At 39.8% G+C, this 14,519-nt stretch overlaps 1 pseudogene, besides 1 other annotated feature; it reads left to right on the top strand.

The window, feature by feature from the left end:
- Window positions 12,626-12,675: an enhancer, noted in NCBI's record as "active region_6202". NCBI's record gives its function as "activates an Ori minimal core promoter by ATAC-STARR-seq in GM12878 lymphoblastoid cells {active_cell/tissue: GM12878}" and the evidence as "EXISTENCE:reporter gene assay evidence [ECO:0000049][PMID:35858748]".
- Window positions 12,839-13,812, top strand: RPL7AP74 (ribosomal protein L7a pseudogene 74; annotated as a pseudogene).

Genomic DNA, 14,519 nt, shown 5'->3' with positions numbered 1-14,519 from the left:
GAGTTTATTTTAGAATGGTAACTTGTATTTTTCTAAAGATTAATCTGTCTTACCTATATTTCAGTATTTCAAATTTCACACCATAAAGTTATTTACAATATTTTAGAAATATCTGCTGTATATTTTTTGTTAATTTATTAATTCCCAATTTTTTAAGTTGTGTCCTTTATCTTCTCTATTAGAAGTTATCAATAATATTAATCAAGCCAGGCGCGGTGGCTCACACCTGTAATCCCAGCACTTTGGGAGACTGAGGTGGGTGGATCACCTGAGGTCAGGAGTTTGAGACCAGCTTGGCCAACATGGTGAAACTACATCTCTACTAAAAATACAAAAAATTAGCAGGGCATGGTGTCACACGCCTGTAGTCCCAGGTACTCAGGAGGCTGAGGCACGAGAATCGCTAGAACCCAGGGGGCAGAGGTTTCAGGGAACCAAGATTGCACCCCTATACTCCAGCCTGGGTGACAGAGTGAAACTCTATCTCTAAAAAAAAAAAAATATGTTACTCATTCCAATTTTGTCTTTGTTAAAATTTTCCATTTTCTCTTCTATTTTCATTTATGTCTTGTCTTACATTTATCATATCTTTTCTGTTACTTCTTTGAGTTTATTGTGTTGTTCTTTTTCTAATTTGTTAGCTGCATGTGTCATTAATTTTCAACTTTCCTTCACTATAATAAACATTAAAATTTAAAATAAATTTACCTGTATAAATTCTGATAATATATCAGAATTATACTATAATATACAGTATTTATATTACTTGTATTATTATTCTAAGTATAATGTTTTCAAATTTCTATTAGAAGTGTTTTTAAATTTCTAAATATTTGAAATTATTTTAATTATATTTTTGTTATTATTTTCTACTTAATTGCATTATAATTAGAGAATGTGGTAGAAGAATTTAATTCTATCCTGGCTTTTGAAATTCCAACAATTAGACATTTGATTTTTTTTTTTTTTGCTTTAATTATGTTTACTTTTTTCTTTGCTCACCATTCCTCTCACAACACAGAAATTTCTGAGATCACTTTCCTCCCCTGTTTCTTTAGTGAGTTTCTTTTGTAATATCATCACGAAAATATGATATTGAAAGTAGAGGAAAGAAAGTCCAGTTCACCTACAAATGAGTGACACTTAAGACTAGCAGCTGCTCCAGAGAGCAATAATGGAAACAAGATACTGGAATGACACCTACAAAATGCTGAGAAGAAATAACTGCTATATTAATCCATTTTCATACTGCTATGAAGAAATACCTGAGACTGGGTAATTTACAAAAAAAAAGCTTTAATGGACTCGCAGTTCCACATAGCTGGGGAGGCCTCACAATCATGGTGGAAGGTGAAGGAGGAGCAAAGACATGTCTTACATGGTGGCAGGCAAGAGAGTGTGTGCAGGGAACTGCCCTTTATAAATCCATCAGATCTCATGAGACTTATTCACTATCACAAGAACAGTATGGAAAAAACCTGTCTCCATAATTCAATTACCTCCCATGACATGTGGGGATTATGGGAACCACAGCTCAATGTGAGATTTGGGTGGAGACACAGCCAAACCGTATCAACCGTCAAATGTTGAATTTTATATTTCAGTGAAACTGTCTTTCAAGGGAAAGGGAAAAGAAAAAAGAAGAAAATATTTCCAACAAATAAACACTGGAGAAAATTACTACCAACAGAGGCAATATTTGAAAAGATAATGGATGATAATTTTCATGAATTATTGCAAGACATACAATGCTTAGATTAAGGAAGCCAAAAGATCATAAGTAAGATAAACAAAAATCAATCCACAACTTTCTCATTCTCCCTAAACTTTCTGGACCCTTGAATGAAACATACACAAGGTCTTCTCACTCTATCCTTCACATCTCTTAAGATCTCTTTAACTGTATTTCATGTCTTTGTCTTTTTTGTGCTATACTGTATGTTATTCTTCTAGATGTATTTTCTAGGTCCATCCCTCTTTCCTCAGCTATGTATAATTTACTATTTAATCCATACACTGGGTTTTTAATATTAATTATTATATCTACATTTCTAAACCCCTATTTGGTTCCTTTGGAAATCTGATTGGCCACTTTCAATTGTCTTTTTTTCTGTCCTCTTATTTTCATTTCCATTTCCATTCCAACAAGGCATTGAGAATGGGAAAAACTGGGAGTGTGGCTGTGATTTCCAATAAGAAACTATGTGTGTTCTGCCCTGGGAAACCTATTCTATTCCACTGGTAAACCTCTTGCATCAGGAAGATATTGAAAGGCACCTTCCATAACAAAATGGAAATCTCTCCACTAATGGCATAGATTTCTGTGATAGCAAAATAAAATTGTCAAGGCTTTCTCTATCATATATGTGCCACACAGATGTCAATATTTGCTTTGTTTTCTGCACATAAGTAATTTCATTCAATACTCTCCACATCAGTAGTTTCACTTACTGCTCTTTGTGATGATATTGATATTAAGTGACATCTCCCTTTTACTATTTATGAAGCAAATTTCCTATATTTCAGTGTTTTTTGTTTGTTTGTAGTAGCTGGCTACATGGGTTTCTCAACAAAGATGTGATTTACAAATATTTTTCTTCTAAAATTCTAGCTTTCTGGAAAAGGCAAAACTATAGACAGTTTAAAAAGATGAGTAGTTAACAGGGGTTCAGGGAAAAGAAGGGAAGGATAAGTAGATGCAGTAAAAGGGATTTTTAAGGCAGTAGAACTGTACCATATGACACTGTGAACCCCGAATATCTGAGACAAGTCTCAGTTAATTTAGAAAGTTTATTTTGCCAAGGTTGAGGACGTGCACCTTTGACACCAGACTCAGGAGGTCCTGAGGACATGTACCCAAGGTGGTCAGAGCACAGTCTGGTTTTATACATTTTAGGGAGACATGAGACGTAAATCAACATATGTAAGATGAACTTGTCTGAGAAAGGCAGGACAACTTGAAGCAAAGGCAGGACAACTCAAAGCCGGGGGGGACTTCCAGGTCATAGGTAGATAAGAGACAAAACGTTACATTCTTTTGAGTTTCTGATTAGCCTCTCCAAAGGAGGAGATCAGATATGCATTTATCTCAGTGAGCAGAGGGGTGACTTTGAGTAGAATGGGAGGCAGGTTGGCTCTAAGCAGTTCCCAGCTTGACTTTTCCCTTTAGCTTAGTCATTTTCAGACCCCAAGATTTGTTTTCCTTTCACACACTGTAATGTGGATACATGTAATCGGACATTTGTCAAAACTCATGCAAGGTACAGGAATACGTCACAGATATTGTGGGTTAGGTTCCAGAGCACTATAATAAGGTGAATATTGTAATAAAGTAAGTCACACAAATAGTGTGGTTTTCCAATGAATATAAATGTTATATTTGGGCTGGGCATGGTGGCTCACACTTGTAATCCCAGAACTTTGGGAAGCCGAGGTCGGTGGACCACTTGAGGCCAGGAGTTTGAGACCAGCCTGGCCAACATGGTGAAACCCTGTCTCTACTAAAAAATACAAAAAATTAGCCGGGCATGGTGGCAGGTGCCTGTAATCCCAGCTACTCAGGAGGCTGAGGCAGGAGAATCACTTGAACCCGGGAGGTGGAGGTTGCAGTGAGCCGACATCGCGCCATTGCACTCCAGCCTAGGCAACAAGAGTGAGACTCCGTCACAGAAAAAAAAAAGCTATATTTGGCTGGGTTCAGTGGCTCACGCCTATAATCTCAGCACTTTGGGAGGCTGAGGTGGGTGGATTACTTGAGCTCAGGAGTTTGAGACCACCCTGGGCAACATGGCAAAAACTCATCTCTAAAAAATAAAAATAAAAATAACCAGGGCATGGTGACACACACCTGCAGTCCCACCTACAGAGAGATGGCTGCAGGGGGCGCTGAAATGGGAGAACTGCTTGAGCCTGGGAGTTTGAGACTGCAGTGAGCCATGATCACACCACTCCAACCTGGGTGACAGTAAATAAATAAATAAATAAATAAATAAATAAAATTTATGTTTATCTGGGTGCGGTGGCATGTGTCTGTACTCCCACTCCTACTTGAGAGGATGAGGCGGGAGGATCACTTGAGTCTAATAGTTTGAGGTCAACAAAGTGAGTTAGTCTCTTAAAAAAATGATTTTTACACTATACTATTGCCTATCAAATGTGTAATAGCATTATGTCTAAAAAAATATACATAACTTAATTTTAAAATATTTTATTGCTGGGCATAGTGATACATACCTGTAATCCCAGTTGCTCCAGAAAATTGCTTGAAGTCAAGGAGTTCAAGTATGCAATGTGCTATGATTGCACCTGTGAATAGCCACTGCACCAACCTGGGCAACATAGTAAGACTTCATCTGTAAAGCAAAAACAATAACAAACAAATAAAGAAAGAAATAAGGGGGAGGAGCCAAGGTGGCCGAATAGGAACAGCTCTGGTCTACAGCTCCCAGCATGAGCGAAGCAGAAGATGGGTGATTTCTGCATTTCCAGCTAAGGTACCGGGTTCATCTCACTGGGGAGTGCCAGACAGTAGGTGCAGGACAGTGGTGCAGCGCACTGTGTGCAAGCCAAAGCAGGGTGAGGCATCACCCCACCTGGAAAGTGCAAGGGGTCAGGGAATTTCCTTTCCTAGTCAAAGAAAGGGGTGACAGACGGCACCTGGAAAATCGGGTCACTCCCACCCTAATACTGTGCTTTTCCAACAGGCTTAAAAAATGGCACACCAGGAGATTATATCCCGCACATGGCTTGGAGGGTCCTACGCCCATGGAGTCTCTCTCATTGCTAGCACAGCAGTCTGAGATCAAACTGCAAGGCGGCAGCGAGGCTGGGGGAGGGGCGCCCGCCATTGCCGAGTTAGTTGTTTGACTAGGTAAACAAAGCGGCCTGGAAGCTCGAACTGGGTGGAGCCCACAACAGCCCAAGGAGGCCTGCCTACCTCTGTAGACTCCACCTCTGGGGGCAGGGCACAGACAAACAAAAAGACAGCAGTAACCTCTGCAGACTTAAATGTCCCTCTCTGACAGCTTTGAAGAGAGTACTGGTTCTCCCAGCACGCAGCTTGAGATCTGAGAATGGGCAGACTGCCTCCTCAAGTGGGTCCCTGACTCCCGAGTAGCCTAACTGGGAGGCACCCCCCAGTAGAGGCGGACTGACACCTCACACGGCCAGGTACTCCTCTAAGACAAAACTTCCAGAGGAACGATCAGGCAGAAGCATTTGCGGTTCACCAATATCTGCTGTTCTGCAGCCACCACTGCTGAAACCCAGGCAGACAGGGTCTGGAGTGGACATCTAGCAAATTCCAACAGATCTGCAGCTGAGGGTCCTGTGTGTTAGAAGGAAAATTAAAAAACAGAAAGGACATCCACACCAAAACCCATCTGTACGTTGCCATCATCAAAGACCAAAGGTAGATAAAACCACAAAGATGGGAAAAAAACAGAGTAAAAAAATTGGAAACTCTAAAAATCAGAGCGCCTCTCCTCCTCCAAAGGAACGCAGCTCCTCACCAGCAACAAAACAAAGCTAGACGGAGAATGACTTCGACGAGCTGAGAGAAGAAGGCTTCAGACGATCAAACTACTCCGAGCTACCGGAGGAAATTCGAACCAATGGCAAAGAAGTTAAAAGCTTTGAAAAAACATTAGACAAATGGATAACTAGAATAACCAATGCAGAGAAGTGCTTAAAGGACCTGATGGAGCTGAAAACCAAGGCACGAGAGCTACGTGACAAATGCAGAAGCCTCAGTAGCCGATGCGATCAACTGGAAGAAAGAGTATCAGTGATGGAAGAAGAAATGAATGAAATGAAGCAAGAAGAGAAGTTTAGAGAAAAAAGAATAAAAAGAAATGAACAAAGCCTCCAAGAAATATGGGACTATGTGAAAAGACTAAATCTATGTCTGATTGGTGTACCTGAAAGTGACAGGGAGAATGGAACCAAGTTGGAAAACACTCTGCAGGATATTATCCAGGAGAACTTCCCCAATCTAGCAAGGCAGGCCAACATTCAAATTCAGGAAATACAGATAATGCCACAAAGATACTCCTTGAGAAGAGCAACTCCAAGACACATAATTGTCAGATTCACCAAAGTTGAAATGAAGGAAAAAATGTTAAGGGCAGCCAGAGAGAAAGGTCGGGTTACCCACAAAGGGAAGCCCATCAGACTAACAGCAGATCCCTTGGCAGAAACTCTACAAGCCAGAAGAGAGTGGGGGCCAATATTCAACATTCTGAAAGAAAAGAATTTTCAACCCAGAATTTCATATCCAGCCAAACTAAGCTTCGTAAGTGAAGGAGAAATCAAATCCTTTACAAACAAGCAGATGCTGAGAGATTTTGTCACCACCAGACCTGCCTTACAGGAGCTCCTGAAGGAAGTACTAAACATGGAAAGGAACAACCAGTACCAGCCACTGCAAAAACATGCCAAATTGTAAAGACCACTGATGCTAAGAAACTGCATCAACTAACAAGCAAAATAACCAGCTAACATCATAATGACAGGATCAAATTCACACATAACAATATTAACCTTAAATGTAAATGGGCTAAATGCTCCAATTAAAAGACACAGACTGGCAAATTGGATAAACAGTCAAGACCCATCAGTGTGCTGTATTCAGGAAACCCATCTCATGTTCAGGGACACACATAGGCTCAAAATAAAGGGATGGAGGAAGATCTACCAAGCAAATGGAAAACAAAAAAAGGCAGGGGTTGCAATCCTAGTTTCTGATAAAACAGACTGTAAACCAACAAAGATCAAAAGTGACAAAGAAGGCCATTACATAATGGTAAAGGGATCAATTCAACAAGAAGAGCTAACTATCCTAAATATATATGAACCCAATACAGGAGCACCCAGATTCATAAAGCAAGTCCTTACTGACCTACAAAGAGACTTAGACTCCCACACAATAATAATGGGAGACTTTAACACCCCACTGTCAACATTAGACAGATAAAGGAGACAGAAAGTTAACAAGGATACCCAGGAATTGAACTCAGCTCTGCACCAAGCATACCTAATAGACATCTACAGAACCCTCCACCCCAAATCAACAGAATATACATTCTTCTCAGCACTACACCACACCTACTCCAAAATTGACCACATAGTTGGAAGTAAAGCACTCCTCATCAAATGTAAAAGAACAGAAATTATAACAAACTGTCTCTCAGACCACAGTGCAATCAAACTAGAACTGAGGATTAAGAAACTCACTCAAAACCGCTCAACTACATGGAAACTGAACAACCCGCTCCTGAATGACTACTGGGTACATAATGAAATGAAGGCAGAAATAAAGATGTTCTTTGAAACCAATGAGAACAAAGACACAACATACCAGAATCTCTGGGACACATTCAAAGCAGTGTGTAGAGGGAAATTTATAGCACTAAAAGCCCACAAGAGAAAGCAGGAAAGATCTAAAATTGACACCCTAACAACACAATTAAAAGAACTAGAAAAGCAAGAGCAAACACATTCAAAAGCTAGCAGAAGGCAAGAAATAACTAACATCAGAGCAGAACTGAAGGAAATAGAGACACAAAAAACCGTTAAAAAAATTAATGAATCCAGGAGCTGGTATTTTGAAAAGATCAACAAAATTGATAGACTTCTAGCAAGACTAATAAAGAAGAAAAGAGAGGAGAATCAAATAGATGCAATAAAAAATGATAAAAGGGATATCACCACCATTCCCACAGAAATACAAACTACCATCAGAGAATACTATAAACACCTCTGTGCAAATAAACTAGAAAATCTAGAAGAAATGGATAAATTCCTCGACACATACAACCTGCCAAGACTAAACCAGGAAGAAGTTGAATCTCTGAATAGACCAATAACAGGCTCTGAAATTAAGGCAACAATCAATATCTTACTAACCAAAAAAAGTCCAGGACCAGATGGATTCACAGCCGAATTCTACCAGAGGTACAAAGAGGAGGTGGTACCATTCCTTCTGAAACTATTCCAATCAATAGAAAAAGAGGGAATCCTCCCTAACTCATTTTATGAGGCCAGCATCATCCTGATACCAAAGCTGGCAGAGACACAACCAAAAAAGAGAATTTTAGACGAATATCCTTGATGAACATCGATGCAAAAATCCTCAATAAAATACCAGCAAACTGAATCCAGCAGCACATCAAAAAGCTTATCCACCATGATCAAGTGGGCTTCATCCCTGGAGGGCAAGGCTGGTTCAACATACCCAAATCAATAAATGTAATCCAGCATATAAACAGAATCAGAGACAAAAACCACGTAATTATCTCAATAGATGCAGAAAAGGCCTTTGACAATATTCAACAACGCTTCATGCTAAAAACTCTCAATAAATTAGGTATTGATGGGACGTATCTCAAAATAATAAGAGCTATCTATGACAAACCCACAGCCCATATCATACTGAATGGGCAAAAACTGGAAGCATTCCCTTTGAAAACTGGCACAAGACAGGGATGCCCTCTCTCACCACTCCTATTCAACATAGTGTTGGAAGTTCTGGCCAGGGCAATCAGGCAGGAGAAGGAAATAAAGAGTATTCAATTAGGAAAAGAGGAAGTCAAATTGTCCCTGTTTGCAGATGACATGCTTGTATATCTAGAAAACCCTATTGTCTCAGCCCAAAATCTCCTCAAGCTGATAAGCAACTTCAGCAAAGTCTCAGGATACAAAATCAATGTGCAAAAATCACAAGCATTCTTATACACCAATAACAGACAAACAGAGAGCCAAATCATGAGTGAACTCCCATTCACAATCACTTCAAAGACAATAAAATACCTAGGAATCCAACTTACAAGGGACGTGAAGGAACTCTTCAAGGAGAACTACAAATCACTGCTCAATGAAATGAAAGAGGATACAAACAAATGGAAGAACATTCCATGCTCATGGGTAGGAAAAATCAATATCATGAAAATGGCCATACTGCCCAAGGTAATTTATAGATTCAATGCCATCCCCATCAAGCTACCAATGACTTTCTTCACAGAATTGGAAAAAACTACTTTAAAGTTCATGTGGAACCCAAAAAGAGCCCGCATCGCCAAGTCAATCCTAAGCCAAAAGAACAAAGCTGGAGGCATCATGCTACCCGACTTCAGACTATACTACAAGGCTACAGTAATGAAAACAGCATGGTACTAGTACCAAAACAGAGATATAGACCAATGGAACAGAACAGAGCCCTCAGAAATAATGCCACATATCTACAACCATCTGATCTTTGACAAACCTGACAAAAACAAGCAATGGAGAAAGGATTCCCTATTTAATAAATGGTGCTGGGAAAACTGGCTAGCCAGAAGTAGAAAGCTGAAACTGGATCCCTTCCTTACACCTTATACGAAAATTAATTCAAGATGGATTCAAGACTTACATGTTAGACCTAAAACCATAAAAACCCTAGAAGAAAACCTAGGCAATGCCATTCAGGACATAGGCATGGGCAAGGACTTCATGTCTAAAACACCAAAAGCAATGGCAACAAAAGCCAAAATTGACAAATGGGATCTAATTAAACTAAAGAGCTTCTGCACAGCAAAAGAAACTACCATCAGAGTGAACAGGCAACCTACAGAATGGGAGAAAATTTTTGCAACCTACTCGTCTGACAAAGGGCTAATATCCAGAATCTACAATGAACTCCAACAAACTTACAAGAAAAAAACAAACAACCCCCAAAAAGTGGGCGAAGGATATGAACAGACACTTCTCAAAAGAAGACATTTATGCAGCCAACAGACACATGACAAAATGCTCATCATTACTGGCCATCAGAGAAATGCAAATCAAAACCACAATGAGATACCATCTCACACCAGTTAGAATAGCGATCATTAAAAAGTCAGGAAACAACAGGTGCTTGGGAGGATGTGGAGAAATAGGAACACTTTTACACTGTTGGTGGGACTGTAAACTAGTTTAACCATTGTGGAAGTCAGTGTGGTGATTCCTCAGGGATCTAGAACTAGAAATACCATTTGACCCAGCCATCCCATTACTGGGTATATACCCAAAGGATTATAAATCATGCTGCTATAAAGACACATGCACACGTATGTTTATAGCGGCACTATTCACAATAGCAAAGACTTGGAACCAACCTAAATGTCCAGCAACGATAGACTGGATGAAGAAAATGTGGCACATATACACCATGGAATACTATGCAGCCATAAAAAATGATGAGTTCATGTCCTTTGTAGGGACATGGATGAAACTGGAAACCATCATTCTCAGCAAAGTATCGCAAGGACAAAAAACCAAACACCGCATATTCTCACTCATAGGTAGGAATTGAACAATGAGAACACATGGACACAGGAAGGGGAACATCACACACCGGGAACTATTGTGTGATCAGGGGAGGGGGGAGGGATAGCATTAGGAGATATACCTAATGCTAAATGACGAGTTAATGGGTGCAGCACACCAACATGGCACATGTATACATATGTAACAAACCTGCACTTTGTGCACATGTACCCTAAAACTTAAAGTATAATAATAAAAAAAAGAAATAAAACTCTATTGCTAAAAAATGTCAACAATCCTCTGACCCTTCAGTATGTTATGATCCTTCTGCTGGTGGAGGGTCTTGCCTTGATGTTGAGGGCTGCCAACTGATCACACTGGTGGCTGCGGAAGGTTAGGGTGGCTTTAGCAATTACCTAAAATAAGACAAAAATGAAGTTTGCCACAATGACTTTTCCTTTCATGAAAGATTTCTCTGTACCTTGTAATGCTATTCAATAGTTTTTTATCCACAGTAAAACTTCTTTCAAAGTTGAAGTCAATTATCTCAACCCTGCTGCTACTTTATCAACTAAGTTTATGTAATATTAGAAATCCTTTGTTGTCTTTTCAACAGTACTCACAGCATCTTCACTGTCTTTACTTATCCATAAGAAGCAACTCTTCATCCATCAAATTTTTATTATGAGATTGCAGCAATTCAGTCACATCTTCAGGCTCCACTTCAAATTTTAGTACTTTTGCTATTTCTACCTTATCTGCAGTAACCTCCCCCACTGAAACCTTAAACCCCTGAAAATCATCCAAAGTCCTGTCAATGTTAATATTTTGACCTCCTCCCATGAGTCATGAATATCCTTAATGGCATCTAGAATGGTGAATCCTTTCCAGAAGATTTTCAATTTACTTTGCCTAGATTCATCTGAGAAATTACTATCTATGGCAGCTATAGCCTTACAAAATGTATTTCTTAAATAATAAGACTTAAAAGTCAAAATTACTCCTTGATCCAGGGCTTCAGAATGAATCTTGTGTAAACAGGCATAAAAACATTAATCTCCTTGTATATCTTCACCAGTGCTTTTGGGTGATCAGGTGCATTATCAATGAGCAGTAATATTGTGTAAAGAACCTTTCTTCTGACTAGTAGGTCTCAACAGTGGGCTAAAATATTCAGTAAACCATGCTGTAAACCACTGTGCTGTCATCCAGACTTTCTTGTCCCATTTACAGAACACAGGCAGAGTCAACTTAGTATAATTTTTAAGGGCCCTAGGATTTTTGAAATCATAGATGAATGTTGACTCCAACTTAAAGCCACCAGCTGCATTAGTCCCTAACAAGAGAGTCAGCCTGTCCTTTGAAGTCTTGAAGCTAGGGATTGACTTCTCCTCTCTGGCTATGAAAGTGCTAGATGACATCTTCTTCCAATAGAAAGCTGTTTCATCTACATTGAAAATCTGTTGGCCAGGTGCGTGGCTCACGCCTGTAATCCCAGCACTTTGGGAGGCTGAGGCGGGTGGATCACGAGGTCAAGAGATTGAGACCATCCTGGCCAACATGGTGAAACCCCATCTCTACTAAATATACAAAAAATTAGTCGGGCATGGTAGCGGGTGCCTGTAGTCCCAGCTACTCGGGAGGCTGAGGCAGGAGAATGGCATGAACCAGGGAGGCGGAGGTTGCAGTGAGCCGAGATTGCGCCACTGCATTCCAGCCTGGGCGACAGAGCGAGACTCCATCTGAAAAAAAAAGAAAGAAAGAAAATCATCCGTTGTTTAGTGTAGCCAGCTTTATCAATTATCTTAGCTAAATCTGGATAACTTGCTGTGGCTTCTACATCAACACTTGCTGCTTTGCCTTGCACTTTTACATTATAGAGATGGTTTCTTTCCTTAAACCTCATGAACCAACCTCTGCCAGCCTCCAACTTTTCCTCACCTCTCTCAGCCTTCATAGAATTAAAAAGGAATTTGGGTCTTGCTCTGGATTAGCCTTTGGTTTAAGATAGTGTTATGGCTGGTTTGATTTTTTAGCCAGATCATTAAAACTTTCTCTATATAAGCAATAAGGCTTATTTGAAGCAATAAGACTGTTTCACTTTCTATTTGTAGGTTCACTGGAGTAGTGCTTTCAATTTCCTTCAAGAACTTTTTCTTTGCATTAATAACTTGGCTAACCATTTGGTGCAGGAGGCTTAACATTTGGCCTGTCTTCACTTCCAACATGCCTTCCTCACTAAACATAAGCATTTTTAGCTCTTGATTTAAAATGAGAGATATGTGACTCATTCTTTCCCTTGAATGCTTAGAAGCCATTTTAGGGTTATCAACTGGGCTAATTTCAATATTACTGTGTCTCAGGGAATAGTGAGGTCTGAAGAGAGGGACAGATGTGGCAGAATGACCAGTCAGTGGAACTGTCAGAACACACATTTACTGATTGAATCTGCAGTCTTATATTGATGTGGTTTGTGGCAGCCCTCAAAGAATTACAATAATAACATCAAAGATCACTGATCACAGATCGCTGTAACACATATAATAATAATGAATCCTTCCAGTGCTCAAGATGCCAGAATGAAAGAAGGCCAAGGGGAGGAAGGTGGCTCCAGACCCTGCTGTTGGGAAGAAGCAGGAGGCCAAGAAAGGTGTGAATCTTTGGACAGGACATCCAGCCTCAAAGGCATGGGACAGGACATCCAGCCTAAAAGAGACCTCACCCCCTTTATCAAATGGCCCGGCTGTATCAGTTTGCAGTGGCAAAGAGCTATCCTCTATAACCCGCTAAAAGTGCCTCCTGTGATTAACCAGTTCACCCAGGCCTTGGACTGCCAAACAGCTACACAACTGCTTAAGCTAGCCCACGGGTACAGACCAGAGGTGAAGCAAGAGAAGAAACAGGGGCTGTTGGCCCAGGCTAAGAAGAAAGCTGCTGGCAAAGGGGACATCCCCATTAAGAGACCACCTGTCCTTTGAGCAGGAGTTAAGACCATCACTACCTTGGTGGAGAACAAGAAGGCTCAGCTGGTGGTGACTGCAAACGACTTGGATCCCATCGAGCTGGTTGTCTTCTGGCCTGCTCTGTGTCATAAAATGGGGGTCCCTGACTGCATTATCAAGTGGAAGGCAAGACTGGGATGTTTAGTCCACAGGAAGACCTGCACCACTGTCGCCTTCACACACGTTAACTCGGAAGACAAACGAGCTTTGGCTCAGCTGGTGGAAGCTATCAGGACCAATTACAATGACAAATATGATGAAAGTCAATGACAAATATGATGATTTTGAGGATAATCCTTCCTGGTAGGTAGTGTGATTTCTAGTTTATGAAACTGAAGAAGCCAGGATTATGAATTAGGTCTTATTGGACACCATCGCGGGGAAGGCAATGTGCTGGGTCCCAAATCTGTGGTTCACATTGCCATGCTGGAAAAGGCAAAGGCTAAAGAACTTGCCACCAAACTGGATTAAATATATGCTGTTGAGTTTTCTGCATGTGAAAATAATTAAAATAATACAAACTCTCAAAAAAATAATAATGAAAAAGCTTTAAAATATTGGAAGAATTACCAAAACCTGACACAGAGACATGAAGTGAGCACATGCTATTGGAAAAATGGTGCCAATAGACTTGCTTGACACAGGGTGGCCAGAAACCCTCAATTTGTAAAAAATACGATATCTGTGGAGCACAATAAAGCGAAGTACAAAAAATGATGTATGCCTGTACAATACAAAGAATTAACACTAATGTAAATTATGGACTTAAGTTAAAAATAATGTATTAATATTGTTTTATCAGTTGTAACAAATGTATCACTAATGAAAGATATTAATTATAGGAGGAACTAGAACGTTGAGGGGGTATATGGGAACTTGGTCCTTTCCACTCAATTTTTCTGTAAACCTAAAATTGCTCAAAAAATAAAGTCAATTAGTTTTTTTTTTAAAGGCAACTTTGAATTTAAGTTGCTCTGAAGTTCTGCTTGCTGCTTTACCTCTAGATAGAAAATACTTCAATTTAATAGTAGAAAGCATCCATGTTGCCTTTTCTGTGAAAATCTGATTTTTTTTTAATCAGAGAGGTTATCATTCTTTTTTTGAAAGTGTGATGAATTTGATAACATTATGCACTGGTATGTAGATATAAATTGATAGCTGAAACAGTGCAACTTACTTTTCCTATATTCATCATCAAAATTCCTATTCTTTTTAAATTTTGGCTACTGGTGT

The sequence above is a fragment of the Homo sapiens genome, chromosome 12 (genome assembly GCF_000001405.40).
Source record: "Homo sapiens chromosome 12, GRCh38.p14 Primary Assembly".
NCBI lineage: Eukaryota > Metazoa > Chordata > Mammalia > Primates > Hominidae > Homo > Homo sapiens.
Note: the sequence above shows the minus strand (reverse complement) of the source record. Positions and strands in the feature narration are given on the sequence as shown.